The sequence below is a fragment of the Homo sapiens genome, chromosome 8 (genome assembly GCF_000001405.40).
Source record: "Homo sapiens chromosome 8, GRCh38.p14 Primary Assembly".
In the NCBI taxonomy this organism is placed as follows: domain Eukaryota; kingdom Metazoa; phylum Chordata; class Mammalia; order Primates; family Hominidae; genus Homo; species Homo sapiens.
This window is the reverse complement of record NC_000008.11, coordinates 48,057,294-48,072,943: the sequence shown is the minus strand read 5'-3', so window position 1 is coordinate 48,072,943 and position 15,650 is coordinate 48,057,294. Positions and strand designations below refer to the sequence as shown.

Here is a 15,650-nt window from a genome sequence, read left to right as displayed (position 1 = left end):
ACTCCAGCCTGGGCAATAAGAGTGAAACTCTGTCTCAGAAAAAAAAAAGAAATTATCTCAAAATTAGAGAAGAGTCATATTCAACCAAAAGTGCTAACAGAGGCCTTAGATAAATAACAACGTAATCTCAGAAAAATGTTTGTAGTGCTTGGAACACATTACAAGGCTTTCTACCTCACAAATTGACAAATATCTACTATGTATCTATTTGTATCTATCTGTCATATATCTATTGACCCTGGTCATTTAAAAATGTTTCAGGAGTGTATACTGAGTTAAAGCCCCTCCACAGTTCTGCCGCGCTGAGATGAGACCTGAGTAAGAGGCCGCGCTCTTCCGCTATACACTGGCGTTTCTACCTCACCCCACAGCTTGTTTCTACCCGCCCTGACCCTCACACCCAGGTGCTCTGCCAGCAGCAGGCAGGGTGGCTGGCGCTGGCGAGCATGGCACACACACCACGACAAGCACTTTGTGACTTCCATCTCATTATTTCCCTTTATCAATACAGCTTGAGGGAGAGAGAAATAAGCATGACCTGCAATTTTTAGTGGAAAAGGTAACATTTAAACTTGGCCTTAACAGATGGAAGGACACTTTTGGGATATAAAACCTACCTACTATGTTTTTCCCTGAAATAAATTTCATTCATTCTGCAAAAGGAAGCAGTCATGTGCCTGGAACAGGGATGAGGAGGAGGAGCTTCCCAGGCCTGGGGAAAGGGCAAGTGTGCCCGGAGATGAAGGTTAGAATCTGCGAGGTGGCATCAGGTGAAGGGCCCTGCAAACACAGCCTAGAAGACTCAGTGCTGCAGGTGCACACCCACAGATCATCTACAAGGTGCCCAACCTCAGCAAGGGGATGTGCCAGAGACATCATAAAGATTATTGTACACACAGCCCAGATGGGAACATCTAAAAGGAAACTGATTTTCGTGATGTGGCAATGTTAAAATTTAAATATTTGTGGTGAAATTGCCCTCTATGCCCATCCCTGCCCACACACAAATATACCAAATACACAGGCTCTGAGAGTCAGAAGGTCTCAAGTCAAAAGTCTGGAGCTGGAGAACACCAGAGGAAGTTCCAGCAGAGGGCCATGAAAAGTGAGTGGGGAGAGTGTTAGGGAGACAAAACCAAAATAGCCAAGGACACCGTGGTGAGATCGTGCCTGCTCCTCTGTAAAGAGAATTTGAGTATATGCACCCCAAACATGGTCTACATTTCCTACTCCACGGTGCCCGCCAGACACACTTCCATTAAGCCTCCTCCCAAACCACTGTTTATTAGGCCCTTTGCTCCTCAAAGTGTGGTCTGCCAACCAGTGGCCATCATGGGAAGCCTGTAAGAAACAGAACCTCAGGTCCCACCATAGACCTACTGAATTAGCATCTGCACTTTAACAAACCCTCAGGAATGCCATTAAAATCTGAGAAGCACTGGTGTATACCAAAATGATGTCCTTTCAAAAGACAGACTGTACACTACATATGAATAAAACTATCATTCTGTGTGCCTCCCACAGGACCAGCAAGGTTCCATACACCATAAAGCATTCTATGCTTTTAGAATACACGGTGTAGGCCAGGCACAGTGGCTCATGCCTTATACCCAGCACTTTGGGAGGCCAAGAAAGGAGGATCACTTGAGCTCAGGAGTCCAAGACCAAACTGGGCAACATGGCAAGACCCCATCTCCACAAAAACTGCAAAACTTAGCTGGGCATAGTGGCTCATGCCAGTAATCCCAGCACTTTGGGAGGCCAAGAAAGGCAGATCACTTGAGCTCAGGAGTTCAAGACCAACCTGAGCAACATGGCAAGACCCCATCTCTACAAGAAATGCAAAAATTATCCGGGCACAGTGGCTCATGCCTGTTATCCCAGCACTTTAGGAGGCCAAGGCAGGTGATGATTTGAGCTCAGGAGTTCGAGACCAGCCTGGGCAACATGCCGAAACCCTGTCTCTACAAAAATTGCAAAAATTAGCTGGTCATGGTGGCCCATGCCAATATTCACAGCTATTCAGGAAGCTGAGGTGGGAGGATCACTTGAGCCCAGGTGACAGAGGTTGCAGTGAGTTGAGATACCACCACTGCACTCCAGCCTGAGTGACACAGCGAGACCCTGTCTCAGAACACACACACACACACCACACACGTAGATTAAATGACTGAGAAGTTAGCACCAAGAAATTGACTACTCCAGTTTCCATTTTGTCAAGACTAAACTATTCCCGAGAATGTGTGGGCTGTCCAGAGTCTAAGAGGTAAAGCTCAATATCACTGATCATTAGAGAAATGCAAATCAAAACCACAATGAGATACCATTTCACACCAGTCAGAATGGCTATTAGTAAAAAGCCAAAAAAACAACAGATGCTGGCGAGGTTGTGGAGAAAGGGTAATACTTATACACTGTTGGTGTGAGTGTGAATTAGTTCAACCATTGTAAAAAGCACTATGGCGATTCCTCAAAGAGGTAAAAGCAAAACTGCCATTTGACCCAGCAATCCCATTACTGGGTATATACCCAGAGGAATATAAAACATTCTACCATAAAGACGCATGCAAATGTTCATTGCAGCACTGTTCACAATAGCAAAGACATGGAATCAACCTAAATGTCCATCAATGACAGACTGGATAAAAGAAAATGTGGTACGTATATACCGTAGAATACTACGCAGCCATAAAAAAAGACAAGATCATGTCTTTTGCGGGAACATAAATGGAGCTGGAGGCTATCATTCTTAGCAAACTAACAGGAATAGAATACCAAATACCACATGTTCTCACTTATAAATTGGGGCTAAATAAGAACTTGTGAACACAAAGAAGGAAACAACAGACACCGGGGTCTAGAGGTGGGAGGAGGGAGAGGAGCAGAAAAGATAACTATTGGGTGCCAGGCTTAATACCTGGGTGATGAAATAATATGTACAACAAAACCCCGTAACATGTTTACCTATGTAACAAACCATCACATGTACCCCCAAACCTAAAAGTTAAAAAAAAAATTTTTTTTTTGAGACAGGGTCTTTGTCACCCAGTCTGGAGTCCAGTTGTGCGATCACAGCTCACTGCAGCCTCGTTGACCTCCTGGGTTCAAGTGATCCTCCCACCCCAGCTTCCCAAGTAGCTGAAACATGCCCAGCTATTTTTGTATTTTGTGTAAAGACAGGGTTTCACCATGTTGCCCAGGCTGGTCTCAAACTCCTGGGCTCAAGTGACCCACCCACCTCGGCCTCTCAAAGTTCTGGGATTGTACGGGGGTGAGCCACTGTGCCCAGCCAACAATATAACTCTTTTTTTTTTTTTTTTTTTTTTTTTTTTTGAGATGGAGTCTTGCTCTGTCGCCAGTGGCGTGATCTTGGCTCACTGCAACCTCCGCCTCCCAGACTCAAGCGATTCTCCTGTTTCAGCCTCCCAAGTAGCTGGGATTACAGGCACACGCCGCCATGCCCGGCTAATTTTTTGTATTTCAGTAGAGATGCGGTTGCACCATGTTGCCTAGACTGGTCTCAAACTCCTGAGCTCAGGCAATCCACCTGCCTTGGCCTCCCAAAGTGCTAGGATTACAGGCGTGAGCCACCGCGCCCGGCTTAACTCTTTTTTTTTTTTTCTTTTTTTTTTTCCGAGACGGAGTGCCACTCTCGCCCGGGCTGGAGTGCAGTGGCGCAATCTCGGCTCACCGAAAGCTCCGCCTCCCAGGTTCACGCCATTCTCCTGCTTCAGCCTCCTGAGTAGCTGAGACTACAGGCGCCCATCACTACGCCTGGCTAATTTTTTTGTATTTTTTTAGTAGAGACGGGGTTTCATCGTGTTAGCCAGGATGGTCTCGATCTCCTGACCTCGTGATCTGCCCGCCTCGGCCTCCCAAAGTGCTGAGATTACAGGCGTGAGCCACGGCGCCCGGCCCCGGCTTATCTCTTTAATGAATACAGTTACCAAACACCAGGATGAGGAGCAAACTCTTTATATTTAGGTATAGTTTATATTATCCTTAAAAGGCAAGCTATTAATAACACTTGTAGCGCTTTTCAACAACCTCAGAAATTTAGTCCTGGCTGGGCATGGTGGTTCACACCTGTAATCCCAGCTCTTTGGGAGACCGAGAAGAGAGGTTGACTTGAGCCCAGCAGTTCCAGACCAGCTTGGGCAACAAGGCAAAACTCCATCTCTATTAAAAATACACAAAATTAGCTGGGCGTGGTGGGGCACGCCTGTAGTCTCAGCTACTCAGGAGGCTGAGACACGAGAATTGCTCGAAACCAGGAGGGAGAGGTTACAGTGAGCTGAGATGGTGCCACTGCACTCTAGTCTTGAGTGACACAGCAATACTCCATCTTAAATAAATAAATAAATAAATAAATAAACAGCCTATCTCTAAGTTCCACCACATTGTACATGTGAGAAAAGAGGCTGTATATCTTCAGCATCTAACAGTGCCTGCCCAAAGGCAAGGATTAATAAGACAGAAGCCCTAGTCTCAAGATTTGCTGGAAGCACCACCCACTGATGCTTATTAAAAGTAGAAATCGACTTTCTTTCACAATTCATATGACTTCACTGTGATTACATTCACAAGTGACTAGTGGAAAAGATAAGCTTAAAATGTAATCTCCTTTTTCTAATTAATCATGTTACTTTACATAGGTTGCATATATGAAGAATTGAGTTTCCTATTATAATGTAGTTAAACCATGGACTTTTCAACCCAAGCTTTGTGAACCTGGCTTTCCATTACCAGTAAGTTACCTCTTTCCAATGGACCTCATCTTAATGGCCTGCTGCTGGTACCAAAGCAATTGTGCCCAACCTGAGATGCATCCATCAGGGCCCCTGCGGCAAGACGTGCAGGGGCGTCCTCTCAGCAGTGTGGGGGCATCAAGAATCACAAACATCCAGAAGCATATCTGTTCACCTTTGACCACGGGCAGAAATTAACTTAATTCAGAATGCACAAATGCCTTAATGGCATCCCATATGACCTCTTTTAAAAAACCAACCCATTCTTTACACAGAAGTACAGGCTTGATGCAAATGTATATATTATTATTATTATTATTATTATTATTATTAGAGACGGAGTCTCACTCTGTTGCCAAGCTGGAGTACAGTGGCATGATCTCGGCTCACTGCAACCTCAGCCTCCCGAGTAGCTGGGACTACAAGCACATGCCACCACGCCCAGCTAATTTTTGTATTTTTAGTAGAGATGGGATTTTACCATGTTGTCCAGGATGGTCTCAATCTCTATACCTTGTGATCCACCTGCCTCAGCCTCCCAAAGTGCTGGGATTACAGGCGTGAGCCACCATGCCCGGCCACAAATGCAAATCTTAACATAGACTAAGCATTCTTAGATTAATAACATTAAGAAATGCTACCATTTATTGATCAATCACTCTGCATCAGACCGTGATTAAACCTATTCATGTTATTTCATTAAATGACAACTCAGAGGCAAGCACAACCTTTACAGAATAAACTGAAGGTTACAGGGCTAACTGCCCACAGTCGCAGGGCAAAGGGCAAAATAGGTGTTTTCCCTAGGATTTGCAGTAGATTCCTCTGGACTGCTCTTCATTTATCAATAGTACTATCCAGTTCGGCTTAGAACATCATGCTAATGGCTTCATTTATCCATATTACTGTCCAGTACAGCTTAGAACATTGTGATAATTGCTTCATTTATCCATATTACTGTCCAGTTAAGCTTAGAACATTATGCTAATGGCTTCATTTCACAATATTACTATCCAGTTCGGTTTAGAATATCATGCCAATGGCTTCACTTATCCATATTACTATCCAGTTCCGCTTACAACATTATGCTAATGGGTAGTTACACTCTACCAGATAGGAGGTGCCAGATGAGGGACCGGCAGACTTGATCATCATCTCTGTAACCAGGAGTTGACAATAATGTACATATATTTACCTATGAACTCAATATTATCATCTACATACAAGTACCAAGTAAGCAGCCTTTTATAAGGACTTAACATGGGGAGGGTTTAATAACAAGCATGCCAACATGTTTGATAAACACAACTTAATAAAGTTCACATTTCATTAAAAATTACCTAGTTTTTAGCAATGAAGCTTTTTTTGTTTTTTTTGAGGCGGAGTCTTGCTCTGTCACCCAGGCTGGAATGCAGTGGCACGATCTCAGCTCACTGCAACCTCCGCCTCCCAAGTTCAAGCGATTCTCATGCCTCAGCCTCCCAAGTAGCTGGGACCACAGGCACGCACCTCCATGCCCGGCTAATTTTTGTATTTTTAGTAGAGACGGGATTTCACCATGTTGGCCAGACTGGTTTCGAACTCCTGACCTCAGGTGATCTGGCTGCCTCAGCCTTCCAAAGTGCTGGGGTTACAGGCGTGAGCCACTCTGCCGGGCCCACTTTATAATTTTAAAAGATCTTGCAGTTTTGTTACAGGTCTAAAGAAGAAGAAAAAAAAAGATCTAAGAGCCTAAGTTCAATGTATGCACTAAACAATAGTTTAACAAAAATAATTCAAGACAATACTAAGTCCACAAGAACTTTCCTTCTCAAAGGGATCCATATGTTACTAAAATTTAAAAACCGATGCAATTAATTTACTCTTCTTGTGAACTCAATTATTTTCACTTGAGTATTAGGATAACTGAAAACGTACCCAATACCCACTTTAAATTTGTCTGAATAATCATTGCAATTATCCAGATTTTTTTACATTATAGCAACAAAAAGGTAATTTATAATAATGGATGTAATCGGAACATTTGACCACCATTACTTAAGTGGCTAATGTGGCGTGATAAAGAATGAAACAATATATTTATCAATTATCAACTGTGGAAAAAATCTGTTCTTCAAGTTAAAGGCTGATAAACTACAAGGGCTATCAAATGTAATAAAGCATTAGCAAGTATCAAGTATCATGTTTATTAATTATAAATGGATGAAAGTCTTTAAATAAAAAACAGGACATTCAGTATTAAAACTAATTTTACTACATTTTAATATGAGGATGTCCTGTTAAAATCTCATTTCATGATGTGATTTTTCAGTATTACCCTGTAATCTATTATTAAAAGGAAAAAAAAAACTGAGCTGGGCAAGGTGACTCATGCCTGTAATCCCAGCACTTTGGGGGGCCAAGGCAGGAGGATTGCTTGAGGCCAGGAGTTTGACACCTGCCTGGACAACATAGCGAGACCGTCTCTACAAAAAAATTTTTAAAAATTAGCCGAGTGTGGTGGTGTGTGCCTGTGGTTTAGCTGCTCGGGAGGCTGAGGCAGGAGGACTGCTTGTTTAAAAAAAAAAAAAAAAAAAGCCTCCTTGTAATCCTTGAACAATATTTTTCTTTCATTACTCAACTACTGTACTGAACAAGCAATGCAAAGTATTCACTATGGATAAGATCAACAATTTGCTTTTCTATTGACCACAGGTTTCTTTTGACTATTGGTTTCTTAGTGCCAACTAAGAATAACAACTCTGCTTTGGTATAATCTTTTAACTGCCAAAATTTCTGGATAAAGTAGCTGCTCACTATTGACAATGACAAGATAGAAGAATTCACACATTGAGTCTATCTATTTGGCAGCAAATGGATCACTGCACAACACTTAACATGGTATTTGGTCAGTTAAACACTGGAGAAAGGATAATCCCTGGAATCTCTATAAGAAAACAACATCTATCAGCCTTTATCATTTACTTCACAAATTAACCTGAAGCAAAAACTTTTCAGATGGTCTTATAGACTACACAGAAATATGAGATGCCAGCCAGGGGTGGTGGCTCATGCCTGTTATCCCAGCATTTGGAAGGCTAAGGCAGGAAGATCACTTGAGGCCAAGAGTTTCAGACCAGCCTATACAACAGAGACCCAGTCTCTACCAAAAACAAAAAACAAAACAACAACAACAACAGCAAAAACAGACATGGTGGCGTGCACCGGTAGTCCCAGCTACTCAGGAAGCTGAGGCGGGACGATCACTGGAGCCCAGGATAGCCAAGGGTAAAGTAAATCGTGATCGCACCAATGCACTCCAGCCTGGGTGATAGTGCAAGACCCTGTCTCTAAAAAAAAAAAAAAAAAAAAAAAAAAAATTTAATTTTAAACATGAGATGGAGCAGATTCTTAGGAATTTTTTAGATGAAAAGATCCTATTAAGGATATAAACACCATAGCAACCTCCTCATATCCAATGGTTTTTTTCAATCATGTAACTCACTCCTTGAGTTTGCACAACTCCTTTATTGAAACAAAATGGACTTTAACTTGTCACTTATTTCCTATATCATTAAATACCTTCATTAATTTTCTCTTCAGAAAATACTTATTGTGTATCTTTATTTTCAACACTCCACAATACTTTTAAATAAACAACATTTTCAGTATGAACTATGGTAAGATTTCATCATTCTATAAGGCATATTATTTAGGAGGTATTCCTTCCTATGCATTTCCTATTTTACAGTAAACTCAGTATCAGGTAAAAATTAACTGCTAATGTTCCTATCAACAATTCATCCATTCCTTTTTATGACACTTTTATCTTGTATACAAAAAAATACACAATTTTCCCAAACCTTGAGGAGTTGAATTTTGTGTGTGTGTGACAATAATTAAAAGCCAGTCAAGTTGGTACTGGAAAATCATTTTGATACTTATCAGAAAAGTAAAAGCAGTGCTTTTCGATCCATCCCAGCAATAAATGATACTATGATATTACACATACAGATGCCTAAAAAGCATACTATAAAAGGAAAATTCCTGAAATGCCTCCAAAATCCTATTATGCATACTAGACTTTATCATCAGTACTTATATTCTTCAAAATGTACCTAATACAGTCACATGCTCATTAAAAGAGTTGATACAGTTTTGATGGCAGGCTACAGTTCCCTGCTGTCTTTCCATGATGCATCAGCAGAACCATTCAAAGCCACACACACCAAACCTATTAAGAAAAAAGCATTCATAATTCCCAGCTGTGTCCTCTACATTTTCCAAACAATATTAATTTCACATGTATTTATCAATATTATATATTTAGTGGGAATTAACATTAAAATCAACATATTGTTCTTAAGTAATCCAGACTAATAAACCATGAGTCAAACAAATCTACTCTGCGAAAACCTCAAATCACTCTGTGTGATAAATTATTTTAATAACATAAAGCTATAAATTTTCTCTATTTTTATATCCAAGACTAAATACCATTGACTATCCTTCAAAATGTTTATGTTCCAAAATCCTGTAGTTACACATAAACCCACAACAAAAGACATTACTTTAGAATGGTAGAAAAAAATATTTTTAAAAATTGTCAATTCTTAAAATTGGTTAAGTAATTAAAACCATTAAATCATAACACTGACCTAACAGGACAAGAAGTTTCTTTTGGTAATCTTTATTAGTATATGATCATCCTCAAGGGTCTCACTTGCTAGCCTTTTAAACAAATTTCTAAGGCAAATTTACAGTTCATTTAAAAGGTAATAAATACCACACACTCCTACAACCTTAGCCACTTTACAAAACAAAGGAAAAATTTCTTCCAAATGTTATTATAATTAAGAGCTTTTCTATATTAATTCCTCTTACAGTCTCCCAGTGTGTCTTAGATTGCCAAGTACATCTTGATTGTGACATGCAAAATGGATTCTGCTTTAGAAATGGGTTAATTGGCATGCAGATTTCTGCAGAGATCCATAATCCCACAAACAAGAGGGGAAATGAACATTATAGGGCTGACTCTGACAACATGTACTTGGCAGGGGAAGGCGGCAGGGGGTTGGCAACTTCACAATGGTGGATTTGGGGGAAGGAAACAGGACAAGAGACTGAGGTACCCAGACCCTCATCCTGCCAACAGCATTCACGTAGTTACTAGCTTCCATGTATAATAAGACACATTTTCAAAATGGAAAGGAGGTTATCAGAGAGACGGATTCAGATCATCAGTTACCATTAGACTACAGTTTCATTCAATTTAATCTTTAACCATTAAAAATTTTTAAAGACTATATTTCAAGGTAATAGTTCATTTCAAATTTAACAAATTACAAATGCACTAATTTGTATGTATGTGTATGTTCTCTATGTGTCATCTTAAAGCATTTTAAACATTTTTGATAATTAAAATGCAACAGCCATGTTGAAATTAATGTTTACATAAACTGTCAGTGACTTTATTGGCCAAGAAAAGGTAGCTCAAAGCTTTAACTTTATATGAGCTTGATAAAAGCCTTTCAGGGCATGTTTGAGAAATGTGCTCTACTATAAAAGTAACTATTTTAATATACAGCCAAGGTCAATTATTAATATTTTTCTTTTTTTTTTTTTTTTTGAGATGGAGTCTTGCTCTGTTGCCCAGGCTGGAGCAGTGGTGCGCTCTCGGCACTGCAACCTCTGTCTGCCAGTTTCAAGTAGTTCTCCTGCCCAGCCTCCCGAGTAGCTGGGACTACAAGTACCCACCACCACACCTGGCTAATTTTTTGTATTTTTAGTAGAGACAGGGTTTCATCATGTTGGCCAGGCTGGTCTCAAGCTCCTGACCTCAAGTGATCTGCCCGTCTCAGCCTCCCAAAGTGCTGGGATTAGCGGCATGAGCCACCACATGGCCAATACTTTATAAGCAAAGTTTAAACAACTAATTTAATATTTGATAAGGTTTTGGTTTGCCTATATATACTGGGGTAAAGTATGACACAAATTATTAAGCTTGACAAAATAAAAGTAGACTTTACCTGACCACCTTTCTATATTCTTCAGTGAATTCATCAAACAGCATTTTCAACAAAGCTTTGGATCCAGTACTTTGAAGTGAAACAGTGACCTAAAGCCTCACGTCACTTTGGTGAAAGCGGAACATAAATGACTTTTCAACTTCAGAGTTCATATTTGTTAGAGTAGAGAATACGAGGAATGAATAAAGTTATCCTTGTTAGTATTAAAAGCCCTAATTGGAAGAGAAAAGTCTCCAATTAGTTGACCCTATTTATTAACCAAAAGCTTCACAGAAAAACAACTAAAAAAGATATTATGCTTTAAAAAATGGGATATATATTTGGATAATTTGCAACCTATAATCCTAAAAGAACTGCCAGAATGCAAAGATCTTTTTAATATTATTATTTCTGGTGAAATCAAACTCAAAATATAATACCTAGGACTCCTTGTCCAAAGAAGAAATTAAACTAGATAATTTCTTTTCTGAAATAGTCTGCAAATTATAATTCACAAGAAGTACACAAAATAGGGTAAATAAAAGTGTGTATACATGAAAAGCTACAATAATTCCAATTTTTGCTTCCCTGGCAAGGTACTGTACATATACATCAACATAATAGAAATGGCACAGTCTCTGAGGACACGTTTCACATTTTATTTACATTTTAAGACTAACTTTAATCTCAAAATCACATATCCATACACCTATTTCCTTTTTGTTGACTTCACTTAAACTTAAATGCATGGTTTGTTAAACAAAGACTGTAAACAAATATTTACCATGTCTGTTACATGTAACACACAAGAACAGCTTTTAACAGGAATTCATCAACTCCCCCCAACATTTTTTATTATAAATACAGGTATCAAAACAATCCTGAACATATTTTTGATACTACTAGTAGTCAGCACCCACATTGCTTCAAAAATTAACACATCTGTGACAATATTCATTGTACCTGCTACTTTTTAAACAATTTCAACTGCAGCTCTCTTTCACTAAGTAAGATGGGTAAAGCATGCCATTTCTGTTTTCTTGAGATTTTTACTTTTTAGAAACACACATGCTTCCACTGCCATCTGACACTTCTCCACACGCTTTCATCTTGTAAACCTGAATTCTATTTCGAGTACTCCAGGTTTATGTTTAAATGACAGTGCCTTTCAAGAGAAAAAAAATTGTGCTGCATTTTTCCTCCTGTTACCTGAAAACATAATGGGTGTACATATATTAAATATATTCTTACAAATGTCCAGGTCATGTTTACCAGCTGGAATTCTTTTACTTAATGTGTATTTTGCATTGTGATATTTAATCAAGACATTAACATGAGTAGAAGGTTGTTGATTTAAGACAAGTTTGAGATCCACTAAAATTAATTGTTGTATGTTTGTCCTTCTGGTGGCTGTGGAAGCTTCATATTTTCTTTGGACATCATTAGACGTCTTAGCTCTTGAAGTACAACTTTAATGCTATATGAATTTTGCCATTTTGCTAACACTGGTATGCTCCGGGCATCCACCTGAAAGGGGAGGAAAGAGTACAGTTAACTAGCAAGTTTAAAGTACTATGGCACCAATTTGTTAAGCATATTTTAATAAGAATGATTTTGAAAATTCATAGCTTGCCTCTATTTTCACAAAACATACACTATGGAATTACTAATACCATAATTAGTATATTTTATCATAATTAGTTTAATATTTTGGGAAAATATAAAGACATAAAACATACAGTGAACTTTGGTCATCAGAAATAAATGTTATATTAAATAACTACTTTGTCAATAAATTTACCAATTCTTTCTTAATGGAGTAAGGTCAAAAGGTTCCTCTCCATTTCCAATGCCACCGCCCAAAATCTGGGGAATTATCTCACACTGAGATTTAGACAAAAGCTACTAACCTGATCTCTTCTTTCAGATTTTTCTTTCCAATGTATTCTACGCACTATTCCTAATTATTCTTTCCTTTTTTTTTTTTTTTTTTTTTTTTGAGACAGAGTCTCACTCTGTCACCCAGGCTGGAGTACAGTGGTGCGATCCTGGCTCACTGCAACTTCCGCCTCCCAGGTTCAAGAAATTCTCCTGCCTCATGAGGCCTCCCAAGTAGCTGGGATTACAGGCACCTGCCACCACGCCAGGCTAATTTTTCTATTTTTCGTAGAGACAGGGTTTCACCATGTTGCCCAGACTGGTCTTGAACTCCTGAGCTCAAGTGATCTACCTGCCTCAGCCTCCCAAAGTGCTGGGATTACAGGCATGAACCACGGCACCCGACCCAAATTAATCTTCTGTGAAAGAGCAACAGAATGGGGATGGAGCTCCTTGCAAGCCCATTCCCAGTTAACTGTCAGCATTTGACCTGTCCTGCAGTTCCCTGGAAAACTCCACTCACACAGAGCTTTCCTTTATCTGACCTCAGAGCTCACATATCTTCACTCACCTCCTACCTTGGGCATTTGTCAAAAAAAGTTGAGTCAAACAGGAAGGTGGGCCGGATGCGGTGGCTCACGCCTGTAATCCCAACGTTTTGGGAGGCCAAGGCGGGCGGATCACAAGGTCAGGAGTTTGAGACCAGCATGGCCAACATAGATAGTGAAACCCCGCCTCTACTAAAAATACAAAAATTAGCCAGGTGTGGTGGCACGTGCCTGTACTCCCAGCTACTTGGGAGGCTGAGGCAGGAGAATCACTTGAACCTGGGAGGTGGAGGCTGCAGTGAGCCGAGACCACGCCATTGCACTCCAGCCTGGGCGACAGACTGAGACTCTGTCTCCAAAAAAAAAAAGCAGGAAGGTAACCAAAATACTTAAGCAGACAAGCTGGGAAACGAAGTGTCTCCAAACAGGCCTGGGAATCTAGAAGACCACACACATGTGTAGGGCTGCGCACAGGCTTATGAAAGAGCTGAGAAGGCCATAAGCTGTCATCTACAGCTGACCTCAAGCAACATATAAGACTATATACAGGCTGGGAATGGTGGCTCACGCCTGTAATCCTAGCACTTTGGGAGGCCGAGGCGGGCGGATTGCCTGAGTTCAGGAGTTCGAGAACAGCCTGGGCAACACAGTGAAACCCCGTCTCTACTAAAATACAATAATATTTGTATTTATAAATATATAATAATATAATATTTAGCATGGTGGTGTGCACCTGCAGTCCCACCCACTCAGGAGGTTGAGGCAGGATAATTGTTTGCATCTGGGAGGCGGAGGTTGCAGTGAGCTGAGATCGTGACACTGCACTCCACCCTGGGCGACAGAGCAAGACTCCATCTCCAAACAAAAAAGATTATATACAAGTAGGACCTATCCCAGAAACACAAGATAGATTCAATATTTTAAAAATCAGAGTAATATATCATATTAACAGAACAGAGAACAAAAACCATGATCATCTCAATGGATGCAAAAAAGCATCTGACAAAATCCAAAAACCTTTCATGATATAAATACTCAATAAATTAGGAATAGAAGGAAACTACCCTCCAACCTAACAGGAATCTACAAAAAACTTAGAGCTAACATCATATTTAATAAAGACCAAATACTTTCCTCCTAAGATGAAGAATAAGATAAGGATGTCCATTCTCATCACTTTTTATATTTTCTTTTTTTTTTTTTTTTTGAGACAGGGTCTCACTCGTTGCCCAGGCTAGAGTGCAGTGCAGTGGCACAATTGTGGCTTACTGCAGCTTCGACCTCCCTGGGCTCAGGTGATCCTCCCACCTCAGCCTCCCAAGTTGCTGGGACTACAGGCGCACACCACCACAGGCCCGGCTACTTTCACTCACTGCAACCCATGCCTCCCCAGTTCAAGCGATTCTCCTGCCTCAGCCTCCCAAGTAGCTAGGATTACAGGTGCTCACCACCATACCCGGCTAATTTTTTGTATTTTTAGTAGACACAGGGTTTCACTATGTTGGCCAGGCTGGTCTCGAACTCCTGACCTCATGATCCACCCGCCTCAGCCTCCCAAAGTGCTGGGATTACAGGCATGAGCCACCACGCCCGGCCAATTTTTGTATTTTTTATAGAGACAGGGTTTCGTCATCTTGGCCAGGCTGGTCTCAAACTCCTGGGCTCAAGGGATCTGCACACCTCGGCCTCACAAACCACTGGGATTACAGGCATGAGCCGCCACCACCACCTGGCCCCGTTCTCATCACTTCCATTCAACATTGTACTGGAGAGGTTCTAGCCAGGACAATTAACAAAGAAGCGAAATAAAAGGCACCCTGATTAGAAAGAAAAGAAGTAAAACTACCTCTATTTGCAGAAGAAATACAAGAAATGATCTGGTATATAGACAATTCAAAGGAATCCACTAAAGAAATTATTAGAGCTAATAAACAAGTTCATCAAGGCAACAAGATACAGGTTCCATATACAATAATTAGTTTTTCTTTACACTTGCAACAATCTGAAATAAAAATTAATAAAATACCTAAGTATAAATTTAACAAAAGTGTAAAACTTGTGCACTGAAAACTGTAAAATATCTCCCCTCCCTCCTTCCTACCACCCTCCTCTCCTACCTCCCCCTTTCCCTCCCTCCCCAGAAAAAAGAGAAAAAAAAAATTAAATAGAAATAATTTAAAGGTCGGGTGCAGTGGCTCATGCCTGTAATCCCAGCACTTTGGGAGGGCGAGGTGGGCAGATCACCTAAGTTCGGAAGTTCGAGACCAGCCTGGCCAACATGGCAAAACCCCCGTCTCTACTAAAAATACAAAAATTAGCCGGGCGTGGTGGTACATGCCTGTGATCCCAGATACTTGGGAGGCCGAGACACAGGAATTGCTTGAGCCCAGGAGGCAGAGGTTGCAGTGAACTGAGATCACGCCACTGCACTCCAGCCTGGGCAACAGAGCTAGACTCCATCTCAAAAAAATAAATAAATAAAAATAATT

At 40.5% G+C, this 15,650-nt stretch overlaps 1 protein-coding gene across 3 annotated transcripts in view; it reads right to left on the bottom strand.

Annotated features, from left to right (window-relative positions):
* Positions 1-8,235: 8,235 nt before the first annotated feature.
* UBE2V2 (ubiquitin conjugating enzyme E2 V2) overlaps positions 8,236-15,650 on the bottom strand; it is a 67,272-nt gene continuing 59,857 nt past the window's right edge. For all 3 annotated transcript variants that reach the window (XM_017013808.3, XM_011517583.4, NM_003350.3), the window contains exon 4: positions 8,236-12,262. In XM_017013808.3, the coding sequence (XP_016869297.2) occupies positions 12,116-12,262 (147 nt within the window). In that variant the 3' untranslated portion in view covers positions 8,236-12,115. The remainder of the gene's footprint in view (positions 12,263-15,650) is intronic.